The sequence below is a fragment of the Homo sapiens genome, chromosome 11, assembly GCF_000001405.40.
Source record: "Homo sapiens chromosome 11, GRCh38.p14 Primary Assembly".
NCBI lineage: Eukaryota > Metazoa > Chordata > Mammalia > Primates > Hominidae > Homo > Homo sapiens.
The window spans coordinates 22,190,444-22,203,427 of NC_000011.10; the positions used below are offsets into that span (position 1 = coordinate 22,190,444).

At 40.4% G+C, this 12,984-nt stretch overlaps 1 protein-coding gene across 15 annotated transcripts in view, besides 6 other annotated features; it reads left to right on the top strand.

The window, feature by feature from the left end:
* Positions 1,800 to 1,889: an enhancer, noted in NCBI's record as "active region_4528". NCBI's record gives its function as "activates an Ori minimal core promoter by ATAC-STARR-seq in GM12878 lymphoblastoid cells {active_cell/tissue: GM12878}" and the evidence as "EXISTENCE:reporter gene assay evidence [ECO:0000049][PMID:35858748]".
* ANO5 (anoctamin 5) overlaps positions 2,030 to 12,984 on the top strand; it is a 90,885-nt gene continuing 79,930 nt past the window's right edge. For 10 of the 15 annotated variants that reach the window (NM_213599.3, NM_001410963.1, NM_001441300.1 and 7 more), the window contains exon 1: positions 2,642 to 3,089. In NM_213599.3, the coding sequence (NP_998764.1) occupies positions 3,050 to 3,089 (40 nt within the window). In that variant the 5' untranslated portion in view covers positions 2,642 to 3,049. Of the gene's footprint in view, positions 2,438 to 2,641; positions 3,090 to 12,984 lie in introns of those variants that run through there. The other 5 variants (NM_001441294.1, NM_001441297.1, NM_001441295.1 and 2 more) reach the window with 2 other exon arrangements.
* Positions 2,120 to 2,179: an enhancer, noted in NCBI's record as "active region_4529". NCBI's record gives its function as "activates an Ori minimal core promoter by ATAC-STARR-seq in GM12878 lymphoblastoid cells {active_cell/tissue: GM12878}" and the evidence as "EXISTENCE:reporter gene assay evidence [ECO:0000049][PMID:35858748]".
* Positions 2,210 to 2,279: an enhancer, noted in NCBI's record as "active region_4530". NCBI's record gives its function as "activates an Ori minimal core promoter by ATAC-STARR-seq in GM12878 lymphoblastoid cells {active_cell/tissue: GM12878}" and the evidence as "EXISTENCE:reporter gene assay evidence [ECO:0000049][PMID:35858748]".
* Positions 2,460 to 2,509: a silencer, noted in NCBI's record as "silent region_3205". NCBI's record gives its function as "represses an Ori minimal core promoter by ATAC-STARR-seq in GM12878 lymphoblastoid cells {active_cell/tissue: GM12878}" and the evidence as "EXISTENCE:reporter gene assay evidence [ECO:0000049][PMID:35858748]".
* Positions 2,930 to 3,019: an enhancer, noted in NCBI's record as "active region_4531". NCBI's record gives its function as "activates an Ori minimal core promoter by ATAC-STARR-seq in GM12878 lymphoblastoid cells {active_cell/tissue: GM12878}" and the evidence as "EXISTENCE:reporter gene assay evidence [ECO:0000049][PMID:35858748]".
* Positions 3,270 to 3,459: an enhancer, noted in NCBI's record as "active region_4532". NCBI's record gives its function as "activates an Ori minimal core promoter by ATAC-STARR-seq in GM12878 lymphoblastoid cells {active_cell/tissue: GM12878}" and the evidence as "EXISTENCE:reporter gene assay evidence [ECO:0000049][PMID:35858748]".

Here is a 12,984-nt window from a genome sequence, read left to right on the forward strand (position 1 = left end):
AAAGTTTAAAGCATGTTGATAACAATCTAAGCAAATTCAGCCTGAAAATGTTTCATTTAGTATGGAGCAAAATCATCAACATATAATGTCTTCTCATACACATCATTTCAAATACAGAACAGAATAAAAAAACATGAAACAAGGAATTATATAAAATACTAGAAAAATAATTTTATTTTCTTTATTTTAACTTCATCTATATAAAGCAAAGATTCTCCCCAGCTCTTAACTCACAATGTCCACAGCATCTAGAAAAATACCTGATTTCAGGAAAAATATTAGAAAACATTCATATTGTAGAAATTTTCTTAGAAGCCCAAACAAGGATTAATAATCAAGAGATGATAACCAAACACTTCTATCACAATTAGTCATTATAATTTAATGTGTAAATCTATGCTTATGTATAGTCACCTTTCAAACACAATTCCAAATTACATCAAGTAGGGAATTGCCTACCTATAGTCTTAAATCACTTGACTAGAGCTCATGTATTCGTAGACATATAGGCAGGAAAGTAAGGTATAGGGGCAAAACTGATTTCCAGTTCCGTGGTTAATCATAACCTTTACCAAACCACTTCTCTCTAGGCCTGTTTCCTTATCTGCAAAAGGTGATTCTCAGTTCTGAAATATCAATAGAATGGTGGGTGGGGAGGGGAATGCAGTAGCAGAAAAATGAAGAAAGGTCAAGACTTCTTTGGTCACCTCATCCTAACTTTCAAATCACCCCATCCTTATCCTAAACTCAGAGTCACTGATATGGTTCGCTGCGTGGCATGCCCAGGGAATTGTAATAATTCTCACCCTGAATTGTAATAATCCCCACGTGTCAAGAGCAGGGCCAGGTGGAGATAATAATGGGGGTGGTTTCCCCCATGCTATTCTAGTGATAGTGAATAAGTTTCAGGAGATCTGATGGTTTTATAAATCGGAGTTCCCCTGCACAAGCTCTTGCCCTCCCCCCATGTAAGACGCACCTTTGCTTTTCCTTTGCCTTCTGCCATGATTGTGAGGCCTCCCCAGCCATGTGGAACTGGGAGTCCATTAAACCTCTTTCATTTATAAATTACCCAGTCTCAAGTATGTCTTTATTAGCAGCATAAGAACAGACTAATACAGTCACTCCCTCCTCATCACTCAAGGCTCTCAGCTGAGACCTCTACCTCACTGTTAGTTCATCATCAGTCTTATTTCCCCGCCATTAGACAGTGAATCTAGTCTCTCAATTATTGTGTAGTTGGCAGTTGATCGGGTCTCAAAAACACAGAACCAATGCAGAGGGGCCTGTGAGGAGTAGAACGACCCATTCTGCTTGAGGTTAAAGTTCTGGTTGGGGTGGGCAGGAAGTGGAGGGGGGAAACAAAGTAACCCTTTGAAATGGAGTAGGGATCAATGTAATATGAGTTAATTTTCTTTTCTTTTTTTTTTCTCTTCTTCCTTCCTCCCTCTTCTTTTTTTCTTTTCTTTACTTTCTTTTGAGACAGGGTCTTGCTCTCCATCACTTAGGCTGGAGTGCAGCGGGATGATTGTGGCTCTATGTAGTCTCAATCTTCTGGGCTCAAGCGATCTTCCCACCTCAGCCTCCCGAGTAGCTGGGACCACAGGTGCCTGCCACCATGACTGGCTATTTTCCAATTTTTTGTAGAGACAGGGGTATCCCTATGTTGCCCAGGCTAGTCTTGAACTCCTGAGCTTTCAAGCGATATCGTCCAGCTGAGATGATGACAGGCGTCATCCCAGCTGGACTATAATATGGGTTAATCTTAATAGCAGCTAAATGTTTAACACATTCTGTGGCAAGGACTGTGCACCGTGCTTCTCTCAACAGCCTAGGAGGTGGGTACTATTATCATTCTCCTTTAAATATGTGGAAACTGAAACTTAGAGAAACTTGCCCCACACTATCCAACTCTTAAGGGGCAGAGGCTGACTTGGAACTCAGGCCACAAGGGATGACCTTCCCCCACCTGTAGAGGGCAGAGATCCTGCTGGGAACCCAGGAAGCAGGCAGGGCCAGGAGAAAAGTCAATACTCCCGCTCCAGACGCTATGGGGAAGGGGCTGCTGGCACCTTGGAGTCTCGGGCCATGAGCCGGCCTTAAAAGGGAGGGGTTCCTTTAAGGGAGAGGGACTTTTCCCCACGAGACCAAAAGTAACTCCCAACTGGGAGAGGGGTTCTCTCCGAGTGGCACGCATGAGCGGATCGATGAAGACCCGGCCAACCGGCTGAGGGAGCATCGGGACCCCCTTTGGGGATCGGAGGAGGAGGATTCCGACAGGAGGGAAGCGGCAGCCCTGGGGAACCAGGATTCCTGGTCGTGGGTGGACCCAGTGGAAAAGGACGTGCGAAGCCTGTACAGAATGGAGCAGGCCGGCCAACAGGGCCGGGGGGCGGCGGGTCCCGAGGAGGGACGGGAGGCTGCATGTCCGGAGGAGGTGCGGGAGGCGGCAGAGCAGGGACCTGGGGACGGCTTGAGCGGAGAGGAGGGGGCCAGCGTGGAGCCAGCCGGGCCGGGGGGCGGGGAGATGGCGGTCTCCGAGGGTGGGGCGCCGGCCGGTCTTGCGGTCTGGAGGCGGGGAAAGAGGCGTGGAAACAGGGACGCAGCGAAGGGGAAAGGAAAGCTGCCAGAGGGCAGGAGTGGAAAGGATCCTGGCGAGCACCGGGAGGAGTGGCGGCTGCGGGATCAGCTGCCGAGCAGGCACAGGGACAGGTGCCTGGAGAAGTACTGGGAGAGCGCCCAGGAGCGCTACCGGCTGAGGGTGGGGAAGCGCAGGGCCAAGCGCGCGAAGCAGGTTGTGGGGGACCGGGTCGAGTGGAAGTACCCGCCGGAGAGGAAGGCCGGCTGGCTGTGGCGCCCAGAGACGGTGGAGTCCGAGGAGGAGGAGAAGGAGGCCTGCAGAAGGAAGAGCAGGCCCTTAGAAGTCCAGCAGCAGCAACTCCGGCGGCCCACAGTCAGATTCAGCACCTGCCTCAGATCTCCACGTCTGTCTCAGCTGCCCCTCTCCTGCTGCCTCTCAGGCACCAGTGCCATTAACGAGCTGGCGAAGATGGGCGACCCGGATCTCCTGGAAGTGTTGGCGGAGGAAGGTAGGACCGCGCCAAGAGGCGTCAAGGGAGAGCCAGGCTGGCTGCCTGCACCCCTCCACCCGCGGCGCAGAGGCCCCGGGGGACGTTGGCGGCCCTGCGGCCTGAGTCCTAGGGAGGTTCGCTGCGTGGCGTGCTCAGCGCGAAACCGGGACTGCGGGGCAGAGTCCCCCGCCTGGGGTGAGTGGGGTTGGTTTCGGCGCCCCACAGATTTCTCTGCTGCTCCTGCGCGCCAGGGACCTGCGACCTGTGACCCCTATGGTTCCGGAACACCCTCCTTGCTCCCCTGCAGGCCTGGGAACCGCCGAGTAATTCAGGGCTGCTAGGCTAGCGCTGCAGTGCTTGGGTCTCCGAACCCAGCCAATGGAAACGAAGGCTTTCCCAAAAAAAGCAGCAGTATAGAGTGCAAGACAGCTATCCCACGTGTAAGGAGCTGGTCCTTGAGTCTTATTACCTCACTCTCTCTGCCCGTTACTTATCATGCTTTGAGATGCTTGTTAATTGTAGGAGTAGCAGATCCTAAAATCTATCAGTTTGAGATACTGAGAGCCATAGGCACTTGGAAAAGCTGCTGCTGCTGCTGCTGCTGTTGCTTTTCAACAGCTTTCATTAAGCCCTTTAGTTCCGTTGAGAAATATTTATCCATTGTTTGCCAAAGCCTTTACACCACCTGTATTCCGTGGACCTATTTTAATACATGTATTTTCCTTAAAATGCACATACTATTTTGCTGCTATCTCCAGGACCCCAGTTCCTTCAATGATATTTTATTTTCATGTCTTGTTTAGTGTTGGATTTAAACACAGAAACAGTTTTCCAAAGTGACAAAAGATCTGATCATTACTATTCAGTCTTCAAAGGCACCGGGAAATACCGTGTGTTACTGCATCCTCCTCGTTCCCTTTTTTAAGCAGCTTTATTGAGATATAATCTATATACTGTAAAATTCACCTATTTGACGTGTAAAGTTGGATTTTTTTTAGTGTATTTACAGAGTTTTGTAACTATCATCATAATCTAATTTTAGAACACTTTCATCACCCCAAATAGAAACCTCTTAGGCAGTCACTTCCCATCCTCCCCACTTCCTACCAGTAATCTCTTTATTGTCTCTATAGATTTGCCTATTCAAGACCATTCGAATAAATAGAATCATACAACATGTGGTCTGTTGTAACTGGCTTCTTTCTCGTAGATTAACGTTTTTGAAGTTAATCCATACTGCAGCTTTTATCAGTGCATCATTCTTATTAATTGCCAAATACTATTCCGTTGTAGAGATATAGCATACCTATCCATTCATCGATGGTAGGATTTGTGTTATTTCCACTTTCTTTTGCTTCTATGAATAATGCTGCTATGAACATTGATGTATCAGTTTTCATATGAACATATGCTTTTATTTTCCTCGGGTATATATCTAGGAGTGGAATTGCTGGATTATGTGGTAGCTTTATATTGAACATTTTAAGAAACTGCCAAACTGTTTTCCAGGCATCTGCATGTTACCTTCCCATCAATAATGTATGAGGGTTCCAATTTCTGTACATACTCACTAACACTTGTTATTGTCTTTTTTATTATAGCCATCCTAGTGGTTGTAAAGTGGTATCTCAGTGTGATTTTGATTCTATTGTGATTTGATTCTACTGACTAATGTAGCAAGTATTTTCATATACTTATTAGTTATTCACGTTTTTGGAGAAGTGTCTATTCAGATCATTTGCCTGTTTACAAAAATTTAGTTGTATTTTTCATTATTGAGTTGCAAGAATTCTTTATATATTCTGAATACAAGTCCCTTATTAGATATATGATTTACAAATATTTCCTCCCATTCTGAGTGTTATCATTCTATGTTCTTAATGGTGTCAGTTGAAGCATACCCCCCTTATTTTTTTTTTTTTTTTATTTTTTGAGACAGGGTCTGGCTCTATTGCCCAGGCTGTAATGCAGGGGCATCATCTCTGCTTACTGAAACCTCTGACTCCCAGGCTCAAGCGATCCTGCCACCTCAGCCTCTGGAGTGTCTTGGACTATGGGTGCTGCACCACGACCTCCCCAGCTAATTATTATTTTTTTTATGAAGATGGGGTTTCACCCTGTTGCCCAAGTTGGTCTTGAACTCCACAGCTCAGCTGATCCACCTGACTTGGCCCCTCAAATTGCTGGGATTACAGATGTGAGCCACAATGCCCAGTCACACTCCCCCATTTTAAAAAAGGGCCTTTGTAATCTATTTATGCTTACATGTGATCCAAATTGTGCCTCTGATTAGGGTGGAGGTGAGAGAAATAGATATTGATGAGGAATACCGTATATTTGATGGCTGGGACTAATTACTGCATTCTGCCCAAATTCCTGTATCTAGATATATTCAAAGAACCAGAACCCAAGCATCAGGGAAGTGTGGCATTGATGAGATCAGGGCCTAAAGAGCAGCATAGTTCAGGCCACTCATATGACTCGTATATTTTTAGATGTTTCTTAGCATGTCAGTTCTTTTGCTGGTTTAGTTTTACTGCCCATTATTGAGACCTGTGTTCTTATTAGGTATCTTAGCCTACTTTTTTTTATTGCTATAACAGAATACCACAGCCTGGGTAATTTATAAAGAAAATATTTCGCTTTTGGTTCTGGAGTCTGGAAAGTCCAAGAGCATGGTATTGGCATCTGACAAGGACCTTTGTGCTGCCTCTTAACATGTTGGAAGGTCAAGGGAGCACATTAGACCAAGAGATAAATGTGTCCAAACTTATCCTTTCATTAGGAACCCAATTCTAATGTAACTGTTGCACTCCCATGAGAATGGCATGAATTCATTCATGAGGATGGAGCCCTCATGACGTAATCACCTCTTCAAGGCTCTACCTCCTAATACCATTACAATGACAGTTAAATTTCACCATGAGTTTTGGAGGGATATTTAAACCATAGCACTAAGATGTATGAAAAGTTCATTGTTATGAGAGTTTTTTTTTTTTTTTAATGAACATTCCAGTGGATTTTTAGAACTCTGCTTCCAGATATATTTTCTCTTGGATTTAAATGACACTGTTGGCTGGGTGTGTTGGCTCACGCCTGTAATCCCAGCACTCTGGGAGGCCGAGGCAGGTGGATCATTAGGTCAAGAGATCGAAACCATCCTGGCCAACATGGTGAAACCCCATCTCTACTAAAAATACAAAAATTAGCTGGGTGTGGTGACATGCACCTGTAGTCCCAGCTACTCGGGAGACTGAAGTGGGAGAATCCCTTGAACCTGGGAGGCGTACGTTGCAGTAAGCCAAGATTGCGCCACTACACTCTAGCCTGGTGACAGAGTGAGACTCCGTCTCAAATAAATAAATAAATAAAATAAAAATAAAATAAACGACACTGTTATGAAAACAAAAGTGTTGGCTGAAGAAGGCTGAAAAATTCAAGTTCCAGAGCATCAATTTTTAATAGCTACTTTCATTTCTATGTTTTAAAATATAAGAAGACTTTTTAGACTAAATTTACCCATATAGGTAAGCCTTGATTTTGTATGTGCTTTCTAAATCACCTTTAAATACTGAATATGAGAGTTAATTTATAAAATTGATTGTAAGAGAGACAACATAACATTTTGCCTTTTAGACTTAATAGATCTAAGATTTATTACATCTTCTCTACTTTTTTCACAATTAAACACATGAGGAATCAGTGATCTCCAATTGGCTAATTTCCTACTATCTTCTAATTTTAAAAATGAAATTCTAATGGCAGAAGTTAATAGAGCACTTAATTAGTTACATAAACAAACATTGCCAGTAAAATGTCATTGCTGGAATTTAACTTTTTTTTTTTTTTTTGAGGTCTTACTCTGTTGCCCAGGCTGGAGTGCAGTGGTGTGATCATAGCTCACCATAGCCTCAAGAAATGTTTATGCTTTAGCTGATTTATGATACAGTTGGTATTGGAAAAGACAGTTTGAGACTTTAGCATTGGAAAAGGCAGATTAAAACTTGAACGTTAGGTTGTTTGCATCTTTACGGCTATGTTAAGCATTGTGTCCAACTAAGCCATCCGTCTTTAGTAATGTTAATATTTGATTAGAAATATTTTATTTTATACTGCTAGTAAGAGTGTAAACTGAGAAGACCAGTTGGTAAGTACAAGTGCTATTTTTGGGCTGTGGATTTGCTGGAGTGTGTATTCTTAGTCATGTGCTTTCAGTGAAAACTCAAGACTCAGTCTTTAGGCTGGCTTTACTTTTGGCAAGTATTTGATGATTCTCCACAGTGATTGGTACCAAATCTTTCATATCCCTGGAATCTAGCCCGCAGGGAGAGTATAGTGCTATCCATTCATTTTAGAGGAAGTTGGAGGAATAGAAAGAAGCTGACAGAGTTGTTGGCTTCAAATCCTGCCTCTTCAGTCAGGCCTCAGTTTTGACAGAGGTTTTGGTGATTATGCATAGTCACAGCATCTTTATACTCCATGAGGGAGTATGAAAGTGTCTGAGTCTATGGTCTGTGTGAACATCTAATTGCAAGGGTGCATACATGTGAGAGAGCTAGCGAGCAGTAAGTGTGCAGGGGTGAGAGGGAGCATGGTGTGTGTGGAAGTAAATCTATCCTCTTGAATGTCCCGATGTTTCACAAAAGGATGCAGTTGACAAAATGTGTCTCTGTTGGTTCTCTGGAGCTGACAGTCTTGTGGAGGGATGTGTATTTGAGCTAGGTGTCCAGAGAGGGCTGCATTCAAGGTGGTATGGGAGCAGGTGGGAGGCCAATCCAGGGGACAGTTGAGGTTTCAGGCAAGGCCTGAAAGGAGGAGGTCTAGGCTGATATAATGTGAAAAATAAGCAAGAGTTAGAAAGGGAAGAAACAGTGTTAGTTCTAGAGAAAGAAAGCTGTAATTTTAAAGGTTAAAGTGTGAAAGGAGAGCTAGTAATAATAGGAGGTAATCTGGGGGATTCATATTGTCCCTTTTCCACATTCTCAAATAAATGCATCGCATCAAATTTTAATAGCAGCTTGAAAATATTTTTTCACCTACTTGTTTTATGTTAAATGGAACAAAAATAATTAGGAAAAAGAGGGGCTAGTGTTTGCAGTTTTTCAACTTTCTTTTTGTAAAAATAGAATTGTAAAACTCTTTAAACCTAGCTTAAGGTTTGCAGTTGCTTGATTGTTCTGTGATTGGAACTATATTTTGTTTGATGCATTGTTCTTTGGCATAATAGTGACTGTTTTTGTCCTTAAAAAAAAGCCTCTCTAAGTCAATGTTAACTATCATATCTTGAGACACAAGGCTTGTATTTCTTAGAATCCTATTCTTTATCTATTCACTGTAAAGCCATTCTAAATTGGTCTCCTTTTCATTCACAGATCTAACGAGAGATGATCAGGATCAGGATCAACTGAGTTTTGAGCTATGTGTTTAGGCAGTAATCATGGGTAAAACCCATTGATGATAATACTGCATGATGTTTAATATTTTTCAAGCATTTCCCTTTAGATTTGTATCTTTTACATGAGAAAGCCTGCACTCAGAAAGTTAAGTGGTATAGCTATAGTTGGTTAGTTTTCATGTTTTGCTTAGAGTAAAACATTTTAAGAGCAGATCCTGCAACACAAAGATCTGAATACAGAAGGAGTTATTTCGATTTTATTCTGACATTCTGAAACTTAGCCCAAGGAATTTACAGCAGTTTTGAAGCTTAACAGTAGAATAGAATAATAACAACAATATCAACAAGAATAACACCTGCTTACCTCCTATATGCCAAGTACATGCATTATCTATTTAGTGCTTACACAAACATTATGAGATAGACATACCACTTATGACAGCTGAGAGCTTTGAATTTATGTCATACTCTTGCAATGGATGCTAGGAAATGTTTTGTTTGCTTGAGTACATTACTACACCATATAATTGAGGTTCTATTAGCAAAGAAGGAGGAGGAGGAGGAAAGATATTTGTCAGTAGCCTGTAGCCTCTGCTGTATTAGTCACCCACCATTAAGTCTTTCCTATTTTATTAAAGGACATCTTCTCAAATTTCTCATGCTTAGGAGTCTTCTATTTCATCTTAACATAGTTTTATGAAAATAGGTATATTTTCTAAAACAAAGTAAATTTAGTGATAAGAGTGCATTGTTCTACTTTAAAAAAAATCTCTTTGATCTCTGGCCTGATAAAATATAGGTATTCTCGTATCTGCATTACATTCACTCTGTTGTGATGTGTTGTGTTTTGGTTGAAGTGTATGAAAAAAATCTGGCCTCTTAGAGATCTATAGTTGAAAAGGGAGGATAATTTTAGAAAGTTTTTGAATAATTATGGATATTCTTCTCTGATTTGCCCCCAAATTCAACGAATAATAGGTTCTTTAAAGTTAGATATAATGTAGAATTTGAAACCATTGAAATGAACTTTTATTTCACTGCTGCATTAAAATCTATTGGTCTGTCCTTCACTTTAAATGTATCTTTTTCTCATGCATGGTTTTGTAACATCATGTATTGCTTATTTGGAAAACAATTATCTACTGAGTTATACAGATCTTCCAAATGCTGACATATTTCATTTTAAAATACCAAAACGTAATGCTAACATCATCACTGATCTTATCAGGAATGCCTTGGGAATCTGTTAAGCACACAGTGACGGTCATAAGTTTACAAAAATTATTTCATTTGCAACTCAAATTTTGTCATTGGCAATAAATACTGTCAGGTGTTTTCCATGAAGTGATAGATTCATGTCATTAATGTTTGAGGTAATATCTGACAAATAGTCAGGTCTGTATGACTCTATATGTTTTCCCATCATACTTTCAACTAAAATGGTGTTTTATGAAAAATTTAGCTACTTTACCTTGCAATGTAAAGTACTTTTTCATGAGGCAACCATGGTACTTTGGAATGCAGCATCAGCGCTTCATGCATTCTTCCTGTTTCTTTATAGATTATTAAAAATTTGTGTGTTCAGGGTCAAGATTTTATAAACTTCATAAGCTTTACTGTTTATCAAGGACATTTTTAAGTTAAACTACATTTTTGTTTCTTTTTGTACTGAGAGTGCATGATGGTGGAGAATATAATGACTACTAATATAGTCTGGTGCCATAGCCTTGATTCACATGATGGCACCAGCAGTTTTATCCCATTGTTTTTGCATCACCAGTGCAAACGTCAACAGAATGAAAAAGACAAATATGGTTTTAATATTATTATAAAACTTTAAATACAAAATAAAATGTATAAATTTGACACATACAAAAAGTAAAATAAATTGTATCTTGATGGGGGATGGCAGACAGTACTTTAAAATTGCTGATATAGGATTTGAATTATCACCTAGAAGGAGAAGTTGTATGGGTGTGTTTTGTATGGGTGTGTTATGTATGTGTGTGAGTACTGTTGTCTCTCAGTATCCACAGGCATTGGTTTCAGGATACCCCACTGGTACCAAAATCCAAGGATGCTCAAGTCCCTTATATAAAATGCCATAGTATTTGCATATAACCTATGCACATCCTTGTGCATGCTTTAAATCATTGCTAGATTACTTATAATATGTAATACAAAGGAAATGCCATGTAAATATTTGTTATACCTCTTTGCACAGTGCCTGGTGCATGGCAAGTTATCATTATATTTTGGCTTTTCATTTGCAGCCACAGTGAAAAACTTGGCTCCCTTGTCAGCTCGCTCATTCAATTTTTCAATAAATGTTTATCAGCCGTCTTTCATTTGCCAATCAGTGTGCTAAAAGAACAAAATCAAAAATTGTGCTCACTTTTCAGAAACTTATCTTCTTTTGCGGATAAAAAGATAGTAATTAAAATGCACAAATATTCGTGTAAAATTGAAACCCTGACAAGTGCAAATAGAGATATATCAGATGCTTTGAACTAGCCAGATATGTGAAAGAAGGCTTCCCTGGGGAGAGAGTGACTTTCAAGCTGATATCTGAAGGATGTGAAGAATTACCCAGGGCAAGGTGGGGAGAGAGAGAGTGTGTTATTCCCTTTTGTGCTGTTATAACAGAATACTACAGACTGGGTAATTTATAAACAATAGAAGTTTATTTGGTCCATGTTCTGGAAGCTGGGAAGTCCAAGGTTGGGGACCACGTCTGGTGAGCCCCTTCTTGCTGTGTCATAACATGGTGGAAGGCATCACTTGGTGAGAGAGCATGCACACATGAGATGGCCTAACTTTCTTTCATAACAAATCCATTCTTGCTATTACAAATCTATTCCTGTGATAACAGTGCTAATTCATTTATGAAGGCAGAGCACTCATGACCTAATCACCTCTTAAAGGGCCTACCTCTCAACATTGTTGCATTGCAGATTGTTTCTGACACATAAACTTTGGGAGACAAATTCAATCCATAGCAGAGAGCATTCCTTACAGAGGAATAATTGTGTGTTAAGGCCCCTCAAAGAGGGAGAATGGAACTGAAAGAAGGTATAAGGATCTGAAAGGAGACTAGTGGGCCAGACTTAAGAGCGTGAAAGGGTGAGGTTGGAGAGGTTGGTTGGTTTTAGTTAATTTTAAAGAATTTTATTGTTTGCCAAAGGCAAAAAACTCATATCAAGAATGACCCCATCTTATACTAGCAAAGCTATGACCCATAAATCTGCTTTTTAAAATAAAATAAAATTATAAATAAAATAAAGCTTTCTTACAAACCAGTGTTTATTTTCACATACAGCCTCGTTTTAACCAATGTACAGATCAAAACTCAAAATATTCCTCTGCAGAAAACTTTGGACTTTATTCCCTAGCTGACCTATAATGGTTGAATTTCTGTCAAGTATAAATTTATGTATATAATGGGCTTAATTATTTAAGAGAATAACTGAGGGATTTGTGTGATCTTTGAAAAGGAATTGGACTGTCATACTTGGGTTGTGAAAAAGCTATACAAATGGTAGATTTTTTAAATTTTTTTTTGACTTATACAATTGCTTTATTTTATTATTTTTTACTTATAAGAACAAGCATTTATTTCTCACAGTTCTGGGTGCTATGAAGTCTAAGATCATGGTACTGAACTCAGTGTCTGGTAAGGGCTTGTTTCCTGGCTCATTAATGCCATCTTCTTACTGTGTCTTCACATGATGGAAGAGGGAAAGCAGCTCTCTGGAATCTCTTTAATAAGGGCTCTAATCCCATTCATAAGAGCTCTGCACCATGAGCACATTCAGACTACAGCACCTGAAATACTTAGTGTTTTTTGGCTTTGTAGACACATCATTCTGATTTCTGCTTTTATCTTCACACTGCCTTCTTCTGTGCCTCTGTTCCCTCTTCTTTTCTTAGGAGGACATCCATCATTGGATTTAGGGCCCACCTTAAATCCAGTATAACTTCATCTCTAGATCATTAACTAATTACATCTGTAAAGACTACATTTCCAAATTAGGTTTCAGTCTGAGGTTTGAGATGGACATGAATTTTGGTGTAGGAGAGACATTAGTCAACCCCTACAATAGGTCAATATCAAGTTTCCATATAATAAAGTGTCTTGTTCTGGGCTCTCTGTTCAGTTTCATTCGCCAGTTTTTCTATCGTATTTCTAAAATTATGGTCACTAACTTGAACTTAAAGTGCTAACATTTTATGTGGTTCCCATTGTGATATTTTCTCCAAAAAAAATATATAGGAAGTTTTTGACTTAAATATATCTTAGGGCTTTTTCAAGTTGGAACCACTAGAAAATAAGAATTTCAGTTCTGTATTTAACTTTTTTAGTGTCATAAACTTACTTGAACATGTATTTTAGTGCAAACGACTAAATGCATTACCATTACGGAGCTATCTGTATGTCGGGAAAGTACTCTGGCCTGTGTAGAAACTGGTAGTGTTCTATATACAAGCTGTCTGGTTTGATTTCAGGAAAATAAGGTG